At 36.9% G+C, this 26,135-nt stretch overlaps 1 protein-coding gene across 14 annotated transcripts in view; it reads right to left on the reverse strand.

Moving 5' to 3' along the window:
* Window positions 7,167-26,135, reverse strand: part of GABPB1 (GA binding protein transcription factor subunit beta 1) — a 79,810-nt gene continuing 60,841 nt past the window's right edge. For 8 of the 14 annotated variants that reach the window (NM_016654.5, NM_005254.6, XM_017022053.3 and 5 more), the window contains 3 exons: window positions 21,261-21,446; window positions 17,846-17,961; window positions 7,167-10,562 (listed from right to left, as the gene is read on the reverse strand). In NM_016654.5, the coding sequence (NP_057738.1) occupies window positions 10,410-10,562; window positions 17,846-17,961; window positions 21,261-21,446 (455 nt within the window). In that variant the 3' untranslated portion in view covers window positions 7,167-10,409. Of the gene's footprint in view, window positions 10,563-17,661; window positions 17,962-21,260; window positions 21,447-26,135 lie in introns of those variants that run through there. The other 6 variants (XM_011521426.4, XM_024449886.2, NM_001320915.2 and 3 more) reach the window with 2 other exon arrangements.

Genomic DNA, 26,135 nt, shown 5'->3' on the forward strand with positions numbered 1-26,135 from the left:
GAGCTGAAGATTGATGGCTAAGGAGAACAGGGATTTTTGGCAGGGTGGTAAGATGAAAATGTTCAAAATTGTTGGGTTTTGGTTTTGTTTTATTTTGCTTCGTTTTATTTTGCTTTGTTTTGTTTTGTTTTGAGATGGAGTCTCACTCTGTGGCCCAGGCTGGATTGCAGTGGTGCAATCTCGGCTCACTGAAACCTCTGCCTCCTGGGTTCAAGCAATTCTCCTGCCTCAGCCTCCTGAGTAGCTGGGATTACAGGCGTGAGCCACTGCGCCCTGCTGAAAATGTTTTAAAATTTATTATGGTGATGGTTGCACACTTCTGTGGATATACTAAAAGCTATTAAACTGTACACTTCAAACGAGGAAATTTTATAGAATGGGAATTATATCTCAATAAAACTGTTGATTTAAGAAAAAAAAAAGCCCTAAGAAAATAAGGGCATTGGTGAAAAAATGGCCTAGAGGATTTAGATTCCAGTGATATTGTCAATAAATCCTTCATTAGGAGCCAGGGTGGGAAAAATAATAATATTGACAACGATATGGGAGGTAAAAAATTTGATCTCATGGAGGTAGAGAATAAAATGATAGTTACCAGAGACTGGAAAGGGTTGGTGGGAGCTGGGGGTGAGGAATAAGTAGAGATTGGTTAATTGGTACAAACATATAATTAGATGGAATTCAATAATATTCAATAGCACATTAGGATGACTATAGTTAATAATTTATTGTATATTTCAAAATAGCTAGATTTGGAATGTTCTGAACACAAAGAAAAATGTTTGAGATGATGGATATCTTAAATATCCTGATTTGATCATTACACACATTGTATGCATGTATCAAAATATCACATATACTCCATAAACAGGTACAAATATTATGTGTCAATTTTAGAAAGTGCCAAGCACCAAGTTAGGCATTTTTATTTTTATTTTTATTTTTATTTGTTGAGACAGGGTCTCACTCGTCAACCAGGCTGAAGTATAGTGATGCGATCACAGCTCATTGCAGCCTTGACTTCCAGGCCCTGGTAATTCTGCCACCCCCACCTCCTGAGTAGCAAGGACGACAGGCATGTGCTACCACACTCAGATGATTATTGTTTTTTATTTCTTGGAGTTTTTCTGTAGAGATGGGGTTTCGCCATGTTACCCAAGTTGGTCTTGAACTCCTGGGCTCAAATGATCCACCCATCTCAGCCTCCCAAAGTGTTGGGATTACAGGTGTCAGCCACCACACCCAGCCAAGTTAGGCACTTTAAATAAAAAAGTGTTCGTTATTTTTTCTCCAAGTGTTGCTATCTCCCCATTATCTCTCTTCTATTCTGCAAATGCAGTCCTATGTTAAACTTGTGTATTATATATACTATTATATATAAATATAAATAGCATTGTATTCTTTATTTTCCATCTTCTTGTTTCTGAGTTGGTTTGAAAATATTTTTCTTTTTTAGTTGTCTCTTCAAATGTAGCTAATATAATAAACCATTTATTGATTTCTTAATATCAGATATTATATTTTTTCAGTTGTAGAATTTGTATTTCTTCTGCCTTATGGGGGCAAAAAAAGAATTTTTATTTGGTTCCTTTTTATAGTTTTCAACTCCTTGCCAAATTTTTAAATCTGGCCTTTTATTTCATTGAACATAGTGGATGATTTTTTTAAATTGCTACTGAACAATATAAAAAAAGACCTGTACAGATGAAAAGACGTACCATGCTCTCTCATGGAGTAAGATTTAACATCATGAAATAATGGTTTTCCCCTAAGTTAACCCGAAAATTTAACATAATCCCAGTGGAAAAATCAACAGGTTTTTGGGTGTTCTATTTTGGAATTCAGTGCCAACTTTTAAAGTTCTTAGGAAAAATAAACCAGAATAAAGAAGAAAATTTTGTAAGAGTAACGAGAAGGTTCTGTTCCTACCCAGAAGTATTAAAATGTATCCTGAAGCTCGAATAATTAGAACAATGAGGTAGATACTGGTGTACAAAGAGACAAACAAAAGGAGCAAATAAATTTAAACATGTACAGAAATTTAGCATATAATAAAGATAGCATCTCAGATCAGAAAGAAAAAGATGGACTATTTAATAAATTGTCCTAGAACAAGGTATAGCCATCTGGAAAGAAAAATAAGCTGTATCTATCTTTCACATCGTGCACTTAGATAAATTCCAGAAAAGTCAGATCTAAATGTGAAAAATGGAAGCATAAAATTACAGGAAACCATCACCACCATCAGGTTAACTGATGGCTTCATGGGTGTGTACACATGTCCAAACTCATCAAATAGTAGTAAATATATGCTATTTTTGTATATCAATTATGCATCAATAGAGCTGTTTTTAAAAGATGAAAATTAAATTAAGAAAATTAGAAGATTCCCTGGACAACCTCAGAGTAAAGAATACATTTATAACTATGGTTCAATGCCAGAAACCATAAATCCAATCACATTTTTTTAAAACCATAAGAAAAATCAAGATAAATGACAAACTGAGAAAATATATTTGCAACATATTTGCACAATGGGCAAATTTGTCTAATCTATGAAGAATTTCACATCAAGAAGAAAAGAGGTCAGGCACAGTGGCTCATGCCTGTAATCCCAGAGCACTTTGGGAGGCCAAGACAGGTGGATCACCTGAACTCAGGAGTTTGAGACCAGCCTGGGTAACATCGCGAAACCCCATCTCTACCAAAAATAAATAAATAAATTAGCTGGGCATGGCGGCGTGTGCCTGTAGTCCCAGCTACTTGGGAGGCTGTGGCGGGAGGATCGCTTGAGCCTGGGAGGTTGAGGTTGCAGTGAGCCGTGATAGCGCCACTGCACCCCAGCCTGGGTGACAGAATGAGACCCTGTCTCAAAAAAAACAAAAAGTGATTTCCTTTTTTTGCACATAAAGGCAAATATATACTATATTCTAATTTTTCTCCTTTTCTTTCTTTTGTTAAACACAAAAGGGATAAGTACAGTACAATATTCTGTACTTTATTTGTTAATATATCTTGACACGTACTCCTTTTTTTCATAGAGCTGCATTGCGTGGACATACCAGAGAGTAATCAGTTCCCTAGCAGTGTACATTTCAGTTGTTTCCAGTCTTTTGCTATTACAAACATTTCTACAAAAAATTGCTTTGCACACATGAGTAAGGATATCCTGAAGTGGAACAGCTGGATCAAAAGGCATGTATATTTGCAGCTTTTATAGGAATTTTCAGGTGCACACCATTCCTCAACATATATTTAAGAATGTTAACTATGTCCTGAGCACTATGCCTTGCAATTTTCATGCACACTATTTGATTCAGTCTTTACAACAACCTGGTGAAAGCCATTTTCTACTTCATCTTCGAGAAACTGAGTCTCAAGGAAATTAAACACTTGGCTAAAATTACAGAAGATAATTACTGAAGAAGCCAGGATTTGAACCTAAGGCTATCGGATCCAATACCCATGTTCTTTCCACCACACCAAGCTGCCTCTCTCAACTTTGCTATTATTGACTCTTAAGATGCCAGATATGTAGGATCAGGGGGCTAGTGGAATTCTAATTTTTGGAGGCTGTGCTAAATGCTCCCAAACACTTTACTAAATATCATGTGCAATAATCCACTTAATCCTTTAAAATATAATTCAAAATACACAACTATAAAATATCAGAAGTTAGAGCAAGAATTAAAAACAAGTTAGGTAGCATATTACAGCTTTTAGAAATGCTAAAAGTGAAAATCAAATCTTTATCTCACTAATTATCTGGAAAGCATACATTCTAAAAAGGAGGAAGTACTGAACTAAAAAACAGAAGGATCAACTCGCAAATTAAAATTTCATTCCACCTTTAATTACAGGCACCCTGGGTGTCAGACTTATATAAAACTTCTTAGACTTCTCCCTCAGCTTGACATTAAGAATTGCACATAGAGGCTGAGCTCACTGGCTCATGCCTGTAATCCCTACACTTTGGAAGGCCGAGGCGGGTGGATCACCTGAGGTCAGGAGTTCGAGACCAACCTGGCCAACATGATGAAACCCCGTCTCTACTAAAAATACAAAAAATTAGCTGGTCATGGTAGCGGGCACCTGTAATCCCAGCTACTCAGGAGGCCTGAGGCAGGAGAATCACTTGAACCCGGGAGGTGAAGGTTGCAGTGAGCTTAGATCATGCCACTGCACTCCAGTCTGGGAAACAAGAGCGAAACTCCATCTCAAAAAAAAAAAAAAAAAAAAAAAAAGAATTGCACATAGAGGCATTCACTAAATATGTGCTAATTCAGACAATAAAAAGTTTTTAAAAAAATACAGTGGGAGAAGATATTTACAATTCACACAACTAGCAAAATATTAGTTTCCAGAAAAACATTAAACTTCAATAAATCAGTAAGAAAAACTACACCCCCAAAATGGCCATGAACTGGCAATTCACAGAATAAACTTTAATGGATAAGAAATGAGGGAAAAAATGTTTGACCTCACTAGTAATTAGTGAAATGCAAATAATGAGAAACAATTTCATACCCACATGGGTTGACAAAAAAAAATTTTTTTTTTCTTTGAGACGGAGTTTTGCTCTTGTTGCCAAGGCTGGAGTGCAATGGCATGTTCTTGGCTCACCGCAACCTCCGTCTCCTGGGTTCAAGTGATACTCCTGCCTCAGCCTCCTGAGTAGCTGGGATTACAGGCATGCACGACCATGCCCAACTAATTTTGTATTTTTAGTAGAGACGGGGTTTCTCCATGTTGGTCAGGCTGGTCTCGAACTCCTGACTTCAGGTGATCCACCTGCCTCAGCCTCCCAAAGTACTAGGATTACAGGCGTGAACCACCGGGCCAGGCCAACGACAAAAATGTTAAAAATGTGACATTAGGTGTTGGTGAGATGTGGTGAGATGAAAATTATCATTATTCACTCATTATACTTTAGAAAGCAATTTGACAATATCTAGAAAGGTTGACTACTGTAGACCTAACAATTTCATTACTAGGTACATGCCTCTGGGAAACTTAGCATATGCTATGTGGAGATAATATACAAGGATGTTCATTATAGCACTATTCACAATAGCAAGAAATTGGAAGTGATATTTCTATAAGAGAAAAATGACAAATTAGGATACATTTTTACTTAATTTTATATAACAATCAAAATGAATGACTTAGCTGTTCAAGTATAAATATGAATATCTAATATACTATTTAACTGAAAAAATCAATATGTAGAATGTTACTTATATAGTACAATAGCCTTAATAAAGTTTAAGAACCACACAAAACTCTACTATATATTTCTGAAATCCAGTCTATAATAAAAGCATAATGTAAAAATGTAGATAGAAACATCTCACACCTAGGATAGTGGTTGATATTGGTTACCTTTTAGGAGAGAGGAAGGGAATGGGTTATGGGAAGAACACAAAAGAACTTAAACTACATCTGTAACATTCTGATTCTTAAAAGAATTAAAGCAAAGAAGGCCACTTAGGATGTATTAAATTTGGGTGGTAGGTACATGGATGTTATATTATTCTCTGTGATCTTTCATGAAAACTTCAAAACATAGTAAATGAATGCAATTTAAACAATTCTTAAGAGTCATGATGAAGACGGTAAGTCTAGAATAATGAAAAATAGTAACGCAAAAACAAATGCTCTACTGACTGTTAACTGGCACACAAAAATATGTAGGAAAATTGTTTGCTTATAGAAAAAGCAGGAAGACATTTAAATAATCCATACAATTCAAAATTATAAACCATGTAATCAATCAGTAGTAAGATTGGAACTGTATTCGATAATATTACATATTTACAGATGTGAAAAACATTACATGTCAACCATGCACATGAGATCAAAACTATCCAAATTAAAAACTGAGGAAGCTAGGGCCAGGCCTGGTGGCTCATGCCTGGAATCCCAGCACTTTGTGAGGCTGAAGTGGGCGGATCACTTGAGGTCAGGAGTTTGAGACCAGCCTGCCAACATGGTGAACCCCAGCTCTAATAAAAATACAAAAATTAACCGAGTGTGGTGGTGCGTGCCTGTAGTCCCAGCTACTCAGGAGGCTGAGGCACGAGAATCACTTGAACTCGGGAGGTGGAGGTTGCAGTGAGCTGAGATTGCCCCACTGCACTCCAGCCTGGGCGACAGAGCGAGGCTTCGTCTCAAAAACACACACACAAACACAAAACTGAGGAAGCACTTAATAAAGCATAATGAACAGAATCTCAGAAACCAGGTCAAAATTTTTCCAAAAAGCAACTGGTGGCATTTGTGGGGTAGTTACAATATTTATCTGAAAATAAAGAGCCCCTAGAAATTGTATCCAAATTATGTTCAAAATTTGACTGTCATTGAAGTGAAAAAATTTAAAAGAGCTCAGTGTATCAAGAGGATCAAGACTATGTATCTGTGTATCTATATATTTGGAAAATAGTTTTAATAAGTTACACAAATATTGATATCAAAATTTTGATTTGGAACCAGAAGCGTATTTCCAATGATGATAGTATGTTTTCCATCGTAGGTTACGCAGAATAATCTGAGAATGAATATGGAGAGCTTACGTCAAACTGAGTCCATGTGCATCAGGTTTTCTCAACTAACAGAGGAAGCAAATAGCAGACATCATTCAAAACTACAACAGACTAGTTATCTATAATGAAATCCAAGCACGGTAAATATTATTTGATGAAATAACAAATCTATTAGTTAGTCCATTCCTAAGTTGATCTGACATAATGGAGGAGTTATTTATTCAATAGAAACCAGGTGAATGGAAAATATTTTTTTCTATTTGCTATATAAGCCTGAGTGCTAATGCCTTGGGAACCCATCCATATGGACATTAAGGTTCCTTTGTGATTTTATCTGAAAAGGCTTTTCTTCTTGCTCTATTTTATTCTGAGTCAGTTCTCAAGGTCTTTCAGGTATTAAAGCACAAATAAACTTTATAGACTTTACCAGGAAAAACTTTGTTATAGAGTAGTATGGAAAAAATCAGTAACACCAGAATAAGGTACTCATAAACATTTCTATCAACTCATCAATTCCTGTTATGAGCAAGGGTTTCTTCTAATTTTCAATAACATCATAAATGATCACGTTGAAGACATATATACTGGTGTAGACATTCATCAGTCACGTTTTGGACAAAGATATTTGTAAGCAGATCTTTTTATTACAAACAAGTACAGATGCTCTCTGGCTTGCAATGGGGTTATGTCCTGATAAACCCATCCTAAGTCAAAAATATCATAAATGTAAAATGCAATTAATACCCTGATAAACCCATTGTAAAGTCAAACAATCATAAATCAAAGCATCATAAATTGGGGACCATCTGTGTAGCTTTCATTACATGAGATTTCCCATTTATCCTCTTTTCTCTCTAATTGTCTTCCCAACCCTCCACCACCATAAAGAAATAGAGCAATCCAGTGACAGAGTAAAAGAACTCTTCTGCCATTCATATCACAAAAGATTGATGTTAAGAAAATAATTCCTAAAAGCCAACGAAAACAAATGACATCACAAGTCCTTTTGTGAAGTAATTAAGATATAAATAAAATAAATAACAATAAATGAAAATTAGTTGAGAAGCACAGTCCCTGCAGATACTACTTCTCAGATGAGGCTTTCTGAAAGCATCACAGATTCAGTCTAGAATTTATAATTCTAGAGGTCCAGGGACTATACAGAGGGAAGTGTTAAATCTGAATAAAGTAATTGGGCAGTCAAGATGCCTAACGAACTCAGTGTCTGGATAGTACGTAACAAGAACGATTCTAGGTGCACAGGAAAGAAAATAATTCATTACACCATAACACTAAATGGCTTGTCTTGCAGAACCCTGGTTGAGAAAGGTTGCTCCAGGTGTTTGTTCACACATATGTGGAAACAATTAACCAGTGATGTGGCAACCAGATGACTGCTAACTACAAATCCATCACTATGTAGTGGAAACAATTATGTGGATTTCTGAAAACTTTTATTTCATATACTTTTATTTTTGTCAGTTCTTTAAATCCTCTGTTCAGAGCACTATTGAGAATGACTAGAATGCAAAGCTTTTACAGCCCACCTGAAAACAGCATGAAATAAGTGAAGGGAAGAAGACACCCATTTTAAGTTTTAATTACAAATTCTTGTCTAAGTAGTGATTTTACAGAACAGTAAATCAGATGTAAATGATTGAGAAATTATGTTATGTAACAATGACTCTGAAAAAGGTGAGCTTCCTCCACAGATACCTGAGTACCTGATGCTATCATAGACTTACTCCTTTTAAGCACCAATTATTTTCTCCCATCTATGCCAGCTGTTGTTATTAGGAATCAAAATTATTTCTTGCACCAGGTAAAGTCTCCAGCAGGAGAGGAGACTGGAAGTCAAAGACGACATTAAGTTAGCTTTCACAAACTTGTTCCCAACACTGTCTTGAGTCTTTTCAGGGCCAGCCTGGTCTGAAAGCAAAACTCTACAGTGATTGCCCTCTGGGGTGAAGACACTGGCCCTTCTCTGCTCCAGCACCACATGTCAGGGTACCTGGCTGTGGTACCAGCACCCTGCCTAACATGACAAATTAATGTACCGAAGTAACCAGAAACAACATTCTCTATTGACTTTTCAGGACTGCAGAAAAAGTCACTTCATGCTATTGAAAATATGGCCTGGCATTTTTAAAAACTAGTTTTTGGATCACTTAAAATATGTCAAATTTAGTGGAAAATTGAAAAAGATCTTTTTCCTCTTCCTTACAGAGTTCTTCAATTTGCCCTAAACTCTTTTTTAAGTGCTTCCAATAGTAACCATCAGGCTGACAGACCATAGACCCCTTTATTACATTAACAAATATACTGGTAATTCCAGTGAAAGAGTTAACAAATTCTCAAGAGTTACCTCAGGAATTTTAAAGTCATGTTGTGGAGAGTATAAAATATTTTCATATGGTGGCTCAAATATGCAGTAGGATAACATTTTTAATGTGTTAATAAGATGTGATAAAAACATAAGTCTACAATGAACATATGTGAAAAAGATATTTAATTGCAAAATAGAAAAGTAGGCCAGAGTACAGTTTTAAGGGTAATTGCTTTTTTATACAGTATAGATAACCTAGAGGGATTTCAGGGTTAAACAGTTCATAAAGCAATAAAACACTGAAAAATAAAGCAAGAAAAAGGGGTTTGAAGTAATATTTTACCAAAAAAAAAAAAGAAAAAGTGAACAGTCTGCCAGTGTTTAATGTCCATACATTGTGGAATTCAACAATATTGTGATGAGAGCAAGTCATAGCACAGACACTGAGCTTTCAAAAGGAAAAGTAGAAGTTACATTAGACATGTCTATTGCATCACTGTAATACAAAAAGTTCCTGTTCTACATACAAAAGCAATTTTTTTCCGTAAGAATCATTTCCTGGGGAGAAATAAGTCCATAAAATATTTCAGAAACCCATATGCATTGGGTTTTCCAAAAACATTATCTTAAAATCAGTGCCTTAAAGTGCTTTCATGTGGAAATCATGATGGAAGGCACAGAATACAGTTTCACGTCCCCACTCTTAAATTTTCAAAAAAGCACAGATTTTGCAGAATTGGCAAATTCAAGTTATCTTGTAGGCTGCTCCTTCCGAGAACACTGTCATTCCAATAAAACCAGCTGCCAGCTTACTTCGTTTCAATGACCTACAGAGTAAAGGGGTTTTGTTTTTGTTTTTTTCTGGTCACTTTCATCATTTCTGTGGGAGAAATACCTATGTAAGTGATGCATTTTGAAATTATAAAACATGCAGAATATGTACAAACAGAAATTTTTAAAAATATTTGCTTCATATACATGTAAATCTACTTGGGTATAGCTGAAATTGAACAAATATAAAAATTTTGCTTTCTAAAAAATGTTTTCAGAGAATCTGACACAACTTAAAGCTGTACAAAGATTTCCTGGGAGAAATCTTCTCTTCATACAGAGGTTTATACCTACAGGAGTAATTCCAGCATCAGTCCACCATAATTATTACACAACATTTGGCCTAACCAACAACGATCACCCTTAAAACTGTTCCGTTTCTGAGAAATTAAGGTTTGTACTAAAATCAAAAAGAATTCACAAAAACAGTGGCTTATTCTGGTTTTGGATCTCTTCAACAATCTTTATCAACTCATTTGGAACTGTAAAAAAAAAAAAACTATTTACAGAATTCAGTTTTAAATACATTTCACAACTTCTAAAGTAAAGTTTTATGTTACAAGAACTCAGAGCTCATGGCTTAAGTCCAATTATCCATCTGTAGTCTCTTCTATCATTCTGTATTCCCATGGCTGTACCTTTGTTGTGTACAGTTCAAGATTGTATTCTTTCTTGACCAAAAGTAAAATCAAACTACATGTTCATTTCAATTAAACAGCTTCTTTATTAGTCTGAAGACGAGTCATAGCTTCCAACTTCTGTCTGTAGGCCTCTGCTTCCTGTTCTTTCTTTAGGAGCTGCTGTCGATATTTTTGTGCTTCTCGATTTGCTTCATCCAGCTGTTTCTGAAGAGCTTCTCTCTCCTAATTAAAAGAAGAGGGTTTTTTTTTTAATTTTTGCAAAAATACATTATTAATACATATAAGCATGCATCCTTCAAATTAAAAAAAAAAACCGTAGTAGCTAAAAGCAGCCACCTATTGAAATTTCCTAGACATCTTGCCTTTTCAATCAATTCACTAACATTTAAGTCCCTAATTTTGTGCTCCACATTATGAGATATGGATTAATTTCTGACTGCAAGGAAATTATTTTCCTATTTAGAAATAAGACTAACAGAAAGACTCCAAACTGGGCACCTGTACTTTTATATGTACTACAAAAACTAGTGAAGAGTTTTTAAGAGGGAAATATACAACCATACCTCTTTATATTTCCATTTGTGGTGCTCTTACCAAAAGGTAATAATTATAAAACAATTTTACTGAGCACCCACTATATGAGTAAACAGGGTGATTTCCAACAATAAGCATCTAAGACAGATATTATGCACAAGTTAAAGATGAGAAAAATGATGCTCAGGGATGATGTAGCTCTCCCAAGGTCACATAGTAAGAAGTTGGATTTATAGGGTTCTAACATTACTGCTTTTAAAACTATTTTCATTTACAATAGCAAGCAAGATAATTCACCTTTAAAATGAAGAGTGCTGATCAAGATCAGTATTTCCTAAATTATACTATTTCATAAACCAATAAAATACTAAATTATCAATGATTAAATTATATAGGTATAAAATATATGCATTAAATTCCTCAACAAATTGAGAGCTGAAACACAAATCCAATCCAATGAAAACGGTATTGTTTCTCCTCTTCCTCCTCACTCTGCCCCATTCAGTTATTGCAGGAAAAACAAGGAGAAACATTTCAACGAACCCATTCCCACACCTCTAAGTGAGCACAAGGACAAAAGCTCAACCTCCACAGACCAAAGCTCAAGGGTAGTTTCCAGGTCTTAGGAATGAGGCAACCTCATCACAGATGCCCAGGACCTCTGAGTGGGGTGAAGGCCAGGGGTCGGACTATCACAAGAATGATAGGTCCACAGTGGACAAGACACTTGGCCAGAGAGAACTAAAGGTAAGTGGTTGGCCGACCACTGGGGAGGCACAGTATGAGATTCTCTTTCTATATATCCTATTATGTATATCCTCTGCCTCCTTGACTCCTGCCCATTGTGAACACCAAAGGATTCCTCACCTTCTCTATTCATATGGTTGGTCCACAAGCAGGAGCATGTATAATCCTCCTGCCTTTCTGTGATTCCACTTCCTTCCCCACAATGGGAATGAAGCTAGATCCAACATTTCTTTTTCTCATGGGCCCACCAGATGTGGGAGTGATTCATTTGGAGACAAAAGATCTCCAAATCTTCCAATTACACAAAATGTACAAGTAGAAGAAAGGAATGTCCCTTACTCCCAGTTTAAGCAATGCCCAGGCCCTATCCTGCTGCCTCCCAACACTTCTTCTCCCCTCCTCTTATCCTAAATCCAGCCAAGATAGGAACAAGTCAGAAAAGACAACCTAGGATGAGTCCAAGGTAAGCAATCAATGCCAGTACCCTGGCTACAAACTGTGCAGGACTTTAAGGACACCAATGGAAGGGGTGAGGGGTGGAAGGTTGGATGTTACTTCCCAGGAGCTAGACCACAGCTCTGGCAGGAGTGTCCACAGCCATGCACGTGTTTTAAAATTTTACGTGTGGCTGGGCACAGTGACTCACACCTTAATGCCAGCACTTTGAGAGGCCAAGGCAGGCAGATCACTTAAGCCCAGGAATTTGAGACAAGCCTGGGCAACATGGCAAAACCCCTACAAAAAATACAAAACTTAGATGGGCATGGTGGTATGCGCCTGTAGTCCCAGCTACTTGGGAAGCTGAGGCAGGAGGATCACTTGAGCCCAGGAGGTTGAGGCTGCAGTGAGCAACTCCACCGCACTCCAGCCTGGGTGACAGAGCAAGACCTTGTCTCAAAAGAAAAAAAAAAGAAAAAAGAGAAAACAAACAAAAACTTACATTATGTGAAAAATAAGAGCAATCCTTTGGTAGCCAAAGTTTTGAATATGGGTATAAATTTACCTTGATTTAGCAGGAAATATTGGAAGAGGTTAACTCTAAAGCATCTTCTAGTATTACCTATTTATTAACATTTAGAGTCAGGAAAGGATTCACAATTATTGCAGAAGATGAAAGCAAACCGAGTGAGGTAGTCTAACAGTGAAAAGAACCTAATCCTATTTTCCATACTGCATATTTTAACTTCAAGAAGTACAATTTATCTTGATAAAAATGAAAAGATAGTTTCCTTCTGCCTACCAGGTGAAATAAAAAACTCATTTTCACAGCATTTTTTGGCTAATTCTATAAAACCTAGAAGACAAAGATCATTAGCACTGCATGCTGAATACATTTAATCTTTAAGATTGAAAGTATAATTAACACTATAATTTTTTTTTCTTTTTGAGACGGAGTCTTGCTCTGTTGCCCAGGCTGGAGTGCAGTGGCATTATCTCAGCTCACTGCAACCTCCACCTCCCGGATTCAAGCAATTCTCCTGCATCAGCCTCCTGAGTAGCTGGGACTATAGGCGCACGCCACCATGCTCAGCTAATTTTTTGTATTTTTAGTAGAGACGGGGTTTCACCATGTTAGCCAGGATGGTCTCAATCTCCTGACCTCGTGATCTGCCCGCCTTGGCCTCCCAAAGTGCTAGGATTACAGGCGTGAGCCACTGCGCCCGGCCTAAATGTTTTTTAAAAGAGAGAAACTGGGCAGGATATGTGAGCTATTTGCTTGTGTGTAAACATCAATTTTCTAACTGCCCTGAGCCAAATATGACAAGTATGATTTTGTTTTTATAAATAAAGTTTTATTGAAATACAGCCACACCCACCCATTTTCAAATTGTCTATGGCTGCTTTCACTACAATGGCAGAATTGAGTAGTTGACAGACTGTAGGGCCCACAAAGCCAAAAATATTTGGTACCTGGCCATTTATGAAAAAAAACTTTGCCTTCTCCAGCCTTAGAAAAAAGAGATATAGACTGGGTGCTGGGCATGCAGTGGCTCATGCCTGTAATCCTAGTATTTTGGAAGGCCAAGGCAGGTGGATTGCTTGAGCCTAGGAGTGAGAGACTAGCCTGGGCAACAGGGCAAAACCTCATCTCAAAATCCTGACCTCAAGTGATCCTCCCACTTCAGTCTCCCAAAGTGCTGGGATTACAGGCATGAATTACCATGCCCAGCCACAAAACCTTATCTCTACAAAAAAATACAAAAATTGGCTGGGCATGGTGGTGTAGCCTGTAGTCCCAGCTACTCAAGAGGCTGTGAGGTGGGAGGATTGCTTGAGCCCAGGGAGGTCAAGGCTGCAGTGAACTGTGATTGCACCACTGCACTCCAGCCTAGGCAACACAGTGAGACCCTGTCTCAAAAAATAAATAAATAAATACAAACATACATACATACATAAAAACACTAATTTAAAAAAAGAGAGAGAAGAGATATGACCTGGATATGGTGACTTATGCCAGTAATCTCAACTCTTCAGGAGGCTGAGGTGGGAGGATCACTTGAGGCCAGGAGTCCAAGACCAGCCTGGGCAACATAGCAAGACACCCTCTCTATGAAAATAAAAATAAAAATAAACTTAGCCGGGTATAGCGGTCCCAGCTGCTTGGGAGGCTGAGGTGGGAAGCTTGCTTGAGCCCAGGAGTTTGAGGTTGCAGTGAGCCATGATTGCACCACTGCACTTCTGCCTGGGTGACAAAGTGAGACCCTGCCTTAAAAAAGAAAAAAAAAAAAAAACAGAGACGGATGTGACTATAAACATTTTTAAATTGTGGCAGATCAGGAAAGATAGCCATAAAAAAAAAAGATTGAAAAGCTTTGCATCAAATAAAACATTTTATAAAGTTTACAGAAATCAGTTTTTAAGAGAGCACTAAGGATCTCAAATCTACCACCAGTTAAGGACACAAATATTTCATAAAAATAAAATTTACAGCCGTGCGCAGTGGCTCATGCCTATAATCCCAGCACTCTGGGGGGCTGAAGCGGATGGATCACCTGAGGTCAGGAGTTCGAGATCAGCCTGGCCAACCCGGTAAAACCCCGTCTCTACCAAAAATACAAGAATTACCCAGGCATGGTGATGCATGCCTGTAATCCCAGCTACTTAGGAGACTGAGGCAGGAGAATCACTTGAACCTAGGAGGCGGAGGTTGCAGTGAGCTGAGATCGCAGCACTGCATTCCAGCCTGAGCAACAGGGACTCTATCTAAAAAAATAAAATAAAATTTACTAATAAACATTTATCTCTAACCTCCATGGCAAAGAAAACATAAAGGTATTTCCTGAAGTCACACAATAAAGTAAGTAATAGAAATCTGTTACTCCTAATACACTAAATACATTTCTTACACATGTACAAAGATTAATTTCAATTCAGAATAGTCTAACGTTTATTTTTGGAAATCTGTAAATAACACTCTTCCTCCAAAAATATCTTCAATGCGGTAATAAATGGAAGATAAAATTATATACATTATTGCAATTTGGTATTTTATTCATACCTTTCCCTCCAAAAAAAAAAACCTATTTTATTTCCTATATTGCCATATGCAGATGTAAAGCCCCACAAAATTTACAATACACTTTCTACAATTTAAAGTAATTTTTCCAGAGACTCTTGGCAAACCTCTCCATTGTTAGTTGGGAAACTGTAAACATAAATTTTTAGCACCTTATTGTTTTTTTTTTTTCTTTTGTCTCACTCTGTCACCCAGGCTGGAGTGCAATGGCATAATCTCGGCTCACTGCAACCTCCATCTCCCGGGTTCAAGCAACTCTCCTGCCTCAACCTCCTGAGTAGCTGTGACTACAGGTGCGTGCCACCACACCCAGCTAATTTTTGTATTTTTTAGTAGAGATGGGGTTTTGCCATGTTGGCCAGGCTGGTCTCGAACTCCTGACCTCAGGTGATCCACCCACCTTGGCCTCCCAAAGTGCTGGGATTACAGGTGTAGGCCACCGCACCCAGCCAACTCTTAGCACTTTCTTTATGGACAGTCACTCTGGTCATTGCAGTCACAGATACATGGAGAAAACTCAAACATTAGATTTTGTATAGAGTTAATTTTTAAATTTCTTTAAGTTTCTCAATCTCAGCATCACTGATATTTTTGGGCCACACAGTTCTTTATTGTGGGAGGCTGTCTTGTGCATCGTAGGATGTCTACCCAGCCTCTACCCATTACATGTCAGTGGAATGCCACTAGTCATGACAACCAAATATATCTCCTGACGCTGCTTTAGAGAAACTTTGAAAGTTAATGGCCAAGCTGTCCCTTAGGAGTATAAAAGTCTCCCCCCAAGATAACCCCATTGGCCACCTAAGAAAATAAATGCAAAATAACGACTTCATGTATTATAAGGAAATTATTACCTGGTTTGGTGAAAACATTGGAGGTCATCTCTTCATTCTATATCTCCAGCCTACCACTACCTGTATACTCACTGTATGCTTCCAGGTTTCTCTGAAATAGCCCTAAGAGGTCATGCAACCTTGGCTTGAACATTTCTAGTGATGGAGAATAAGATTTCCATTACCAGAAAGCTCTAATTACTAAAATCAAAACAAAGCAAGCAAACAAAAATCACTGTTCTTCATACCAAGCTAAAACTGAATCTCCCTAAAGCTCCATCTCCTTGGCCCTAGTTACTTTATATACCTCTCAATTCATACTTCCCTGTTATTTGCAATTATTTTCCCTGGTCTCTCAAAAGACTGTAAGAAAGAAATCAGGCTGAACTTTGAGGGAAACAGCAATGCTTACTGGTCATTAGGTAAATAAAGGTATAGGCTGCACATTCACTGTTTAAAAATATAATCTGTTGAATTAAATAAGCTTACATTTAATAAAAATTCAAGTAATTTTAAAATAATACTTTATTAGATAGTTAAAGCGAAGTACATGACAATTTTTTTACCTTATGTGTCTGAAAAAGATCATCTGACATATCAGAAAAACAACAAAAATTATTAAATAATAAGTATACTGATACTATTCAATGGAAAAATTGTTAGTTTGTGAATAAGAACTTCAACATCCTACACATCACTTTAAATCTTGAAGAAATAAAACAACCCAACATCAATATTTAAAGTCATAATTTTACCAAATATTCCGGTTTAACCAATAACCAGATTTTTTAAACTCAATAATATATTTGTGGTGTGGTGAAAGATGTACCAGTCTTATATTTACATGAATTTAGGAAGGGTATTTTCTCATTGTCTTTAGTTTGACTTATGTTGTCTTTTAGTGACTTATTTTAAAAATCTCCTTTCTATAACAAGAACCTTTACAAAAAATTACTAAATATTCACCAAGTTTACTACAAACACGTATCAGATATAAATATTGTATGACTATGCTGACTTTTTCAATTCTCACAAAAACCCGAAAATGGAGACATTATTATTATTCTAAATTCCAGTTTGGGACACAATAAAACTGAAACTCAGAAAGATAAGATTCCTTGCCTCAATGCTAACAGAGCAAGAGGTGGGATTCCAACTCAGTTCATTTGATTTCAAGTTCAGTGGCTGCAGTTGTTCTTTCAAAGTTATTCAAGTATAACTTTGTTTTCATTTGATATAACTTATTATCAAGTTCATGGAACAAAATTTATTTACAGTCAGTCAAGAAAAAAACCTGTGAAGCAACTATGGTTTTGTTACACCTACAAACTGGTTTACGCTTACAAATTACTTTGGGAGAGGGGAAAAAATGATGAATCCTATGAACAGCTAGTCTAAATTCATTTACTTGCCTTGAAATAAGCAATTATCTACTGCTTTTAAAAAATAACCCATTTGACAAACATCAACCTCCTTTAAGAGGACCCCTAGCCCAATTAGGCATTTGAGTTTCAGTTTTGAACAACAAAAAAAAAATTTTAGCCAATATATACTGGTATTTTCCTTTAGTGACGTGTAAGAATGGTGTGTGTAAGTTTAAAACATAAAGGATGAAGTGGAAGAACCAAAGACATTCCAGTGTTATCAAGATGACAGACTGTTATAAACAAATTCTTCACTCACTCATTCATTCATTCAATATTTATTTATTGAGGGCTTGCTATATGTATAAGGCAAAAATAAACAAAATGAAAATACTACGCACTTTCATTCTGTATCAAAACAATACTGTCAGTAATAAATATAAAAGACAAAAAAAATTGAATTTATTTTGGATGACTGCGGCAAAGCACACCGGGTAAAAGACTCCTTACTTCTATTTCTGCAGATTCCACCCGGTTTTCAATTATTTCGATACATTGTCTCTTAGCTGGTGGTTCTTCACTTATAACAGTTTCTTCAGCAATGTCTGTTGCTGGTACTGTTAATACTAAAATGAAAAAAAAATTATGTATTACTTCATTTTCAGAGAGATTTATTAGAAATAAAACTAGTCTTGACATTGTTGATGCTACTCATCTAAAATAACTACATTCCAAAACAATAATTCCAAATCATTGATTTGCTTTTTATGAGACTATCCATATTTGTCTTTTTTATTACCTTCTTGCTTTTTTACTGAAATCTACTTATTAAAGTACCTACAAATATTTTTTTAATTATATAGATAATATATTCATTCATGACTCAAAACATCAAAATATTTAACGAGCATATTTTGAGAGGCCTCATGCCCACCCCTGCTAACAGATGATCATTTTATTAATTTATTATGTATTATCCTTATATTAATTTGTTTAAAAATTAGTATACATTCTCATTTTCCTTTCTTACATAAAAGGTAGCATCTATACAATAGATATATTGTTCTGCATCTGCTTTTTTCACTCCAAATACTTATAATATCTTACATCACTACATAGAGAGCTTCTGTTTATTTAGCTGCATAATATCCACTAAGTGCATATTCCATTATGAGCACTGATAGTTCATAAACATTGCTTGTTTTTGTATTGTACTGTTGGGCTTTTTCTCAATTTTTAGTAGCTCTTTATATAAATGCAATTATATAGAGAGGCTGTCCTTGCTTTGCACAGCACTACAGGAACATAAAAATGACTGTGCAAGCTGAAACCATGCGAAGCCATTTTAATAATCACAATGGGGAAAATTATAATTGTTCCACGGCCTTTAAAATTTTTTGCCAAAACATGAAAAACTCTCTTAGTGACAGTTATAAATGTAAATAAAAATTTAAAAATAGTAAAACTAATATTTATTTAGTACAATGTAATTTAAAACATTAGAAATATTGAGAATTTGGGTTTTACTTCTTTTTTATTCATGACATAAATTACCTCAGGAAAAAATGAGAATTTAAATCTGTTTATTAGACTGTCTGTAAAGTCTACATAATTCACATGTAAACTATATATTTTTAATTCAGGAAGGCTTTAGAAGTTTTTTTTAAATATTCAGTAGAACTTTCTCATGGTTATTCTTTTCCAGAGTTTTCCTTATTCTTCTTCCCTCTGCCCCATCAACATAAACTTTAGAAGCCATTTGGCTAATTACAGAAAAAAACTTGGTATTTGTTATGGGCTGAATGGCACTCCCACTCCCCAAATTCACATGTTGAAGTCCTAACCCCCAGTACCTCAAAGTGTGACTCTATTTGGAGATAGGGTCCTTAAACAGATAATTAAGGTAAAATGAGATAGGCCCTAATCCAGTACTACTGGTGTCCTTACAGGAAGAGGAGATTAGGACACAGATAACACAAATACTGAGGTAGACCATGTGAGGACAGGCCACAAGACGGCCATCTGCAAACCAAGGAGAGCAGCCTCAGAAGAAACCAAACCTGCCCAACACCTTGATCTCGCACTTTTAGCCTTCAGAGCTGTGAGAAATCATTAGTCTGTATAATGATACGGGTTTTGGAAACAATGTTATGTCTGCTTGATACAAATATTTTTAAAGTTTTCTTCTTTTCTGAAAATTAGAATTAGTTCTTTAATGCTTTGTGAAAGCATCTGACCCTAATCCAAATTTCAGACCAGCTATCAGCAGAAGATTTCAGCAGAGTGGGACAGAATGGCCTCCAGGCTTCAGAGGTCAAGGGTTTCCTCTCCTACTGCTACAGCAACAAACTCCTTTCTTGAAATCTGGTCTCTGTTCAATGCCATGCCTCCTCTGTCACTCAAAACCAAACCTGGTTTAGGCGAAGTTCTACCTCAAGCCCTGCCCTTCACTGGCCATGAAAGGCACACGCTCTACAATCCTACTCATTTTCTTTCTTTCTTTATTTTTATGGAGACAGGGTCTCGCTCTGTCATCCACACTGGAGTGCAATGGTGCAATCATAGTTCACTGCAGCCTCAAACTCCTGGGTCCAAGCGATCTTCCTGCCTCAGCCTTCCAAGTAGCTGGGACTACAGGCTCACACTATCATACCTGGCTAATTTCGTCATTTTTATTTTTGTAGAGATGAGTATCATTGTGTTGCTAAGACTGGTCTTGAACTCCTGGCCTCAAGCAATCATCCCACCTTAGCATTCCAAAGTGCTGGGATTATGGGCATGAGCCACCATACTACTAGCCCTAGTCATTTTCTCAAAGATTATGTGTGGACACTTCTTTTAGGGGGAGACAAGGTACAGGGCAATGCTTACTTAGGCACTTTCTACAGCTTCTCTCTGCCTCAGTATTCATGCCCTATTCTATCTCAGTCCTGCATGCAGCACTTCCTACTGAGTCTGGGGCCCTATCCTTCTGAGAGAGCATGTTTATTGCTGAGCTTAACCCCTTTTCTTTCCTTGATGCACCAGTGTGGATTTCTATGAGAGTCCTCTTGCCCTGGCTGTAATGGCTTCAGATGCTTTTGGCGGCACTTAAAAATGTGGAATTCTGAGGTTTTTCTCAGCCTTTTAGTTTCACTGAAAATGTAGCTGAGACTTTTGTTTCATCTTGTTAGCCTTTGTGGTTTCCAAAAGGAGAAAAATGTTAGAATTCACAATAAAGCTGCTAAAATGTGCTACCATATTCCTACTACAAGTCCTAAGTCCACCTTTTTTTTTTTCTTTTTCTGAGAAAGAGTTTCTCTCTGTTGCCCAGGCTGGAATGCAGTGGCATGATAATGGCTCACTGCAGCTTCAACCTCCTGGGCTCTAGCAATTCTCCCACTCCAGGCTCCCAAGTAGCTGCGACTATCAGCAAATGTCACCATGCCTAGCTAATTTTGAATATTTTTTTTAGACATGGGGTCTCACTATGTTGCCCAGGCTCCAACTTCTTTTTAAGTAGCTTTTTCTTATATGGTATTTTTAAAAGCTCACATGGTAATTGAATTGCATTAAATGATCTAGGAAACTACTGTCCAATGCTGATTTGAATTATTTATTTTGGATATTATTTGTGTTGACATTTAAGCTCATTTTTCAACCAGAATACTTTGGGGCCAATTTCTCTTTCCACCAGTATATACTCAGAGAAAGCAAGCTAATTTGAATTTTAATTAGCCTAAGCAAATAAAATTAGGTAATTAAGTCTATTGCAAAGGGTTATACAAATATAACTCAAGGCAAAAATACATTCTTTGGAACACATACCACAATTTCCTGAGAATTAAAAATAAACACAATCTTTTTGGACTGCAGGGAAGACTTAAAGAAAATAAAAATTAAAAAAAAAAAACATACAAACTTTATATAAATGTCTACTACTAACCTTGTTGTCCATCTGGCATGGTCACAATGATGGGCTGACCAATTCCACTGGTTGGAATAGAGTGCAAATTTCCAAGCTGAATTCCATCTGTAACTATTGTGATGACTTGCTGACCCCCTGAACTAACTACTTGCTGAATGGCACCATCCACAGATTCTGCAGTAACTACTTCTTCTGTGGCCACTACTGGAAAAAAAAAAAAGAAAACTCAGCAAACATATGTAACGGTATGAATAGAAACCTATTTTTGCTTTGTCTGCTACTTTTGCTTTCTATGCTTCTTTCTTTTCTTTTTTCTTTTTTAAATAGAGATAGGGTCTCACTCTGATGCCCAGGCTGGAGGGTAGTGGCACAATCATGGCTCACTGCATCCTTAACTCCTGCACTCACGTAATCCTCTTGAATCAGCCTCCCAAGTAGCTGAGACTGCAGGTATGTACCACCATACCTGACTAGTTTTATTTTTTTTAGGGATGGGGTCTTGCTATGTTGGCCAGGCTGGTCTCAAACTCCTGGCCTCAAGCAAGCCTCCTGCCTTGACCTCCCAAAGTGCTGAGAATTACAAACATGAGCCACCACACCTGGTCCCCTGCTTCTTTCTTACCCAGGAAAACTTGTACATGGTTTTAAAACTCAGTCGCCAGAGGTGTTGGAGATATCTATGTAACCAGTTGATTACAAGTCTCTCATAATTTACAATACATCAGTTCCAACTATCTTTACATGTGAGTGGTTAAACAATTTCTCATTTGGTTGTATGAGGTACAAAATTTAGATCTAATATCATGACAAAGGTTATATCTGTTTCGTAAAACCTCACAATTCAGTCGGGTGCTGGTGGCTCAGGTCTGTAATCCCAGCACTTTGAGAGGCTGAGGCGGGAGGATCACTTGAGGTCAGGAGTTCGGGACTAGCCTGGCCAACATGGCAAAACCCTGTCTCTACTAAAAATACAAAAATTAGCTGGGACTGGTGGTGCATGCCTATAACCCCAGCTACTCAGGAGGCTGAGGCAGGAGAATTATTTGAACCCAGGAGGCAGAGGTTGCAATGAGAAGAGATCATGCCACTGCCCTCTACACTGGGCAACAAAACAAGACCCTGTCTCAAAAAAAAAAAAAAATCCACAATTCATAAGATGAATTTGAATATGATTATACTCCATTTACATTTATGTGTGAGTTGACATACAGAATAAAGAGTATTCTCTTTTTGGATTAAGTGAGCAAGGATTTGCCTTGATAATAAGTGGCATACAGATGTGGTACTATGTGATAGTAAATAGTGTATGTTAACATTTCCACAAATAAAATCCCCAAATATGCTCTTAATAATTTATGAAAGCCTTAGAGAGGATTCTGGCAGCTCAAGCAGCACCTGTGGCCTTGTCTGGGTAGAGAAATCACAAGTTAATACTGCCAAAATCCTTTCTCACAGGCAATCCTACACCCAACTACTGATCCCAAAAGACATGTAGAAGAATATACATGGTAGCTTTATTCATACTAGTAAAAAACTACAAACAACGCAGATATTCTTTGATAATAAATTAACAATGGTAGAGTCAAACACAGCAATTTGACTATATGCAAAACATGGATGAACCTGACAAAAAACAAAACTGAGTGATGTAAACCAGACACAAAAGAATATGTACTGTCTACCTTCCATTTATGAACTGAGCAATGTTTACACAATGTTTACAATTATCCTATGTAAACCCTTTGTGATAATTCCTCAAACTGTACACTTATAATCTATAAACATTTCTGTACATTAAACCTCACTTCAATAAGAAAGCATCAAAAGGAATGATAGTAATGGATTACTATCCATTGAATTTTTTTTTTTTTTGAGACGAAATCTCACTCTGTCACCCAGGTTGGAGAGCAGTGGCGTGATCTCAGCTCACTGCAACATCCGCCTCCCGAGTTCAAGCGATTCTTCTGCCTCAGCCTCCCAAGTAACTGGGAATACAGGTGTGTGCCACCACGCCTGGTAATTTTTTTTTTTTTTTTGTATTTTTAGTAGAGACGGGTTACACCATATTGGCCAGGCTGGTCTTGAACTCCTGACCTTGTGATCCGCCTGCCTTGGCCTCCCAAAGTGCTAGGATTACAGGCGTAAGCCACCACGCCCAGCCTGAATTTTAAAAAATCTTTCTATCTGGCTCATGCCTATAATACCAGCACTCCAGGAGGCCGAGGCAGGATGATCACTTGAGCCCAGGAGTTCAAGACCAGCCTGGGTAACACAGTGAAAAACTGTCTACAAAAAATTTAAAAATTAGCCAGGTTTGGTGTTTTACACCTGTAGTCTCAGCTACTTGGGAGGCTAGGGTGGGAAGATCCCTTGAGCCTGGGAGGTTGAGGCTGCAGTGAGCAGTGATCACATCACTGCACTCCAGCCTGGGTGACAGAGTGAGACTCTGTCTCAAAAAAAAAAAAAAAAAATTCTATCTATAATAATACCTCATAAAAAGGAGAGAAAGGAGGAAATGGGAAAGATATTCCTGATAGAAAGACATCTAGTTAACATTTAAAAAATGACAAGTTAAGATAAATCATTGCGGCCGGGCGCGGTGGCTCATGCCTGTAATCCCAGCACTTTGGGAGGCCAAGGCGGGCGGGTCAGGAGATCGAGACCACATTGAAACCCCGTCTCTACTGAAAATACAAAAAATTAGCCGGGCGCGGTGGTGGGCGCCTCTAGTCCCAGCTACTCGGGAGGCTGAGGCAGGAGAACGGTGTGAACCCGGGAGGCGGAGCTTGCAAGTGAGCTGAGATCACGCCATTGCACTCCAGCCTGGGCGACAGAGTGAGACTCCATCTCAAAAAAAAAAAAAAAAAAAAAAAGATAAATCATTGTAACTTCTAATGTAATAATTCATTCAAGCAAGGATCGGTAGTGGGTGCTAAAAGCATTGATAAAATCTTTTGGGGAAACAGGATATTCAAATGTTCTCAAAGTATCCCACCAAAGATTACTATTAGTTGCAAAGGGGAAAATCTACCTGAAAAGACCCGGCAGTCATCATTCTACCAAGTGGTCATTATCAGGATGGGCTGATATTATGAGCCTCCTTACGTGATACACTGGGAGGTTACAAAAATTCACTGGTGTTCTTCCTGGAAATGTCTGAACTAAATCTGACTATACACGACATTTGGAGGACAACTTGAAAATGGACCATATGTCAGATAATTTTTTTTAATTAATGTTGATGTTTTTAGAAAATAAAATGGAGCTGTGGATATGTAGAAGGCCATCCTTATTCTTGAGAGATACATGCCAAAGTAAAGGTGAAGTATCATGATGTCTCCAGCCTACTTTCATATAACTTAGCAAAATAAAAGTGTGTATATGTGTGTGTGTGTGTGTGTGTGTACATGCACACATGTGTCAGAGAACATATGGGCATGCCAAGATGTTAACAGCTGGTGAATACAGGTGAAAGTTATACAGGTTCATCCTCCAATTTTTCTGTGGGTTTGAAAACTGTCTACATATAAAAAAAAAATTATAACTAGTTCAAAAAGAGGAATGACATTAAAAATTATTTCTAAATGGCATGGTTTTTAATGTATTTACACATTACAAAAGTGCAATTACAAAAAGTGTAATTTTACAAAAAGTGTAATTAAATAAAACCACTCTCTACTAAAATCAAGCTACCATCCATATACACAGTTGCTCTGAAATATGCTGAGTTTCTATCAACTCACAGTATGGCATCATGGATATCAGTGATCACAGGATTTACTAAGACAGAAAGGCCATAAATATAGGAACTGCTTTTTTTTTAAGGCAGGAAAAATACTAGGAAACTAGTTTTCAAGATGTACTCAACAGGCCTGGCTTCAACTCTGTTACTGTGTTACTTAGTAATCAAGGATCACAATACAAACCACAGAACACTCAAAATGCAAACAACCTTTGTTTTGAGCTCTCTTGTAATTTTTGTTTACCTTAAACTATAATTAGGTTTTATCACCAAGCACTTAAGAAAATTTCAGGAAGATAATTACAAAATGAAATGTAGGACATAAAATAGTAATATATTCAACAGAGCTACTACTAGGATTTTCAAACGCATTAAGTATTGCTTTGATTTTTTCAAAAACTATCCATATGAAAAAGAAATATTCACTTGAACTGAATGCTAACTACAGATAGTAAATATTTTAAAGCATAATCATATGTAAGAAATTTCTAAGATCACACACAAGGCACAATTCAAGAACTTTCATCTTTGCACTATTTGCAATGACTGTTATTAAAATAATAGAGTTCTTGCCTTTCATCTAAAAAGCTTTCTTTTTAAGTTGTGCTATGGTAAGATATTTAAGAAAAATTAAAAGGAAACAAATTACGTAAGACAAAGTGCCCCCCAGAAGCCTTAAGAACAATCTAACAGTAAAATGTTGAAACACTAAAAGAGAAAGCCTAAAAACTCTTAAAAGATTATTGATTTTAAAAAATAGATTTATATTCCAAAACATAAAGCTCCCTGGATAAAAAATAACTATAACATAAATATTCATTGATCTGATTCAAAAGTCAAGTTGTAATATTTAAAGAAAACCTAGATAATCTGCAGCACCTTTGACGACATCTGAGATCTCTTGTTCAATAAGAATTCTGAATTCAGATGCCATACAAATGAAATAAGGGAAGAAAACTGTCTTTGAAATGTCCTAAAAGATTGAAAATTCTACATAGAAACATTTAAATAATAAAATAGAAACTATGGACCGGGAGCAGTGCTCATGCCTGTAATCTCAGCACTTCAGGAGGCCAAGGCAGGTGGATCACAAGGTCAAGAGATCGAGACCATCCTGGCCAAGATGGTGAAACCCCGTCTCTACTAAAAAT

The sequence above is a fragment of the Homo sapiens genome, chromosome 15, assembly GCF_000001405.40.
Source record: "Homo sapiens chromosome 15, GRCh38.p14 Primary Assembly".
NCBI lineage: Eukaryota > Metazoa > Chordata > Mammalia > Primates > Hominidae > Homo > Homo sapiens.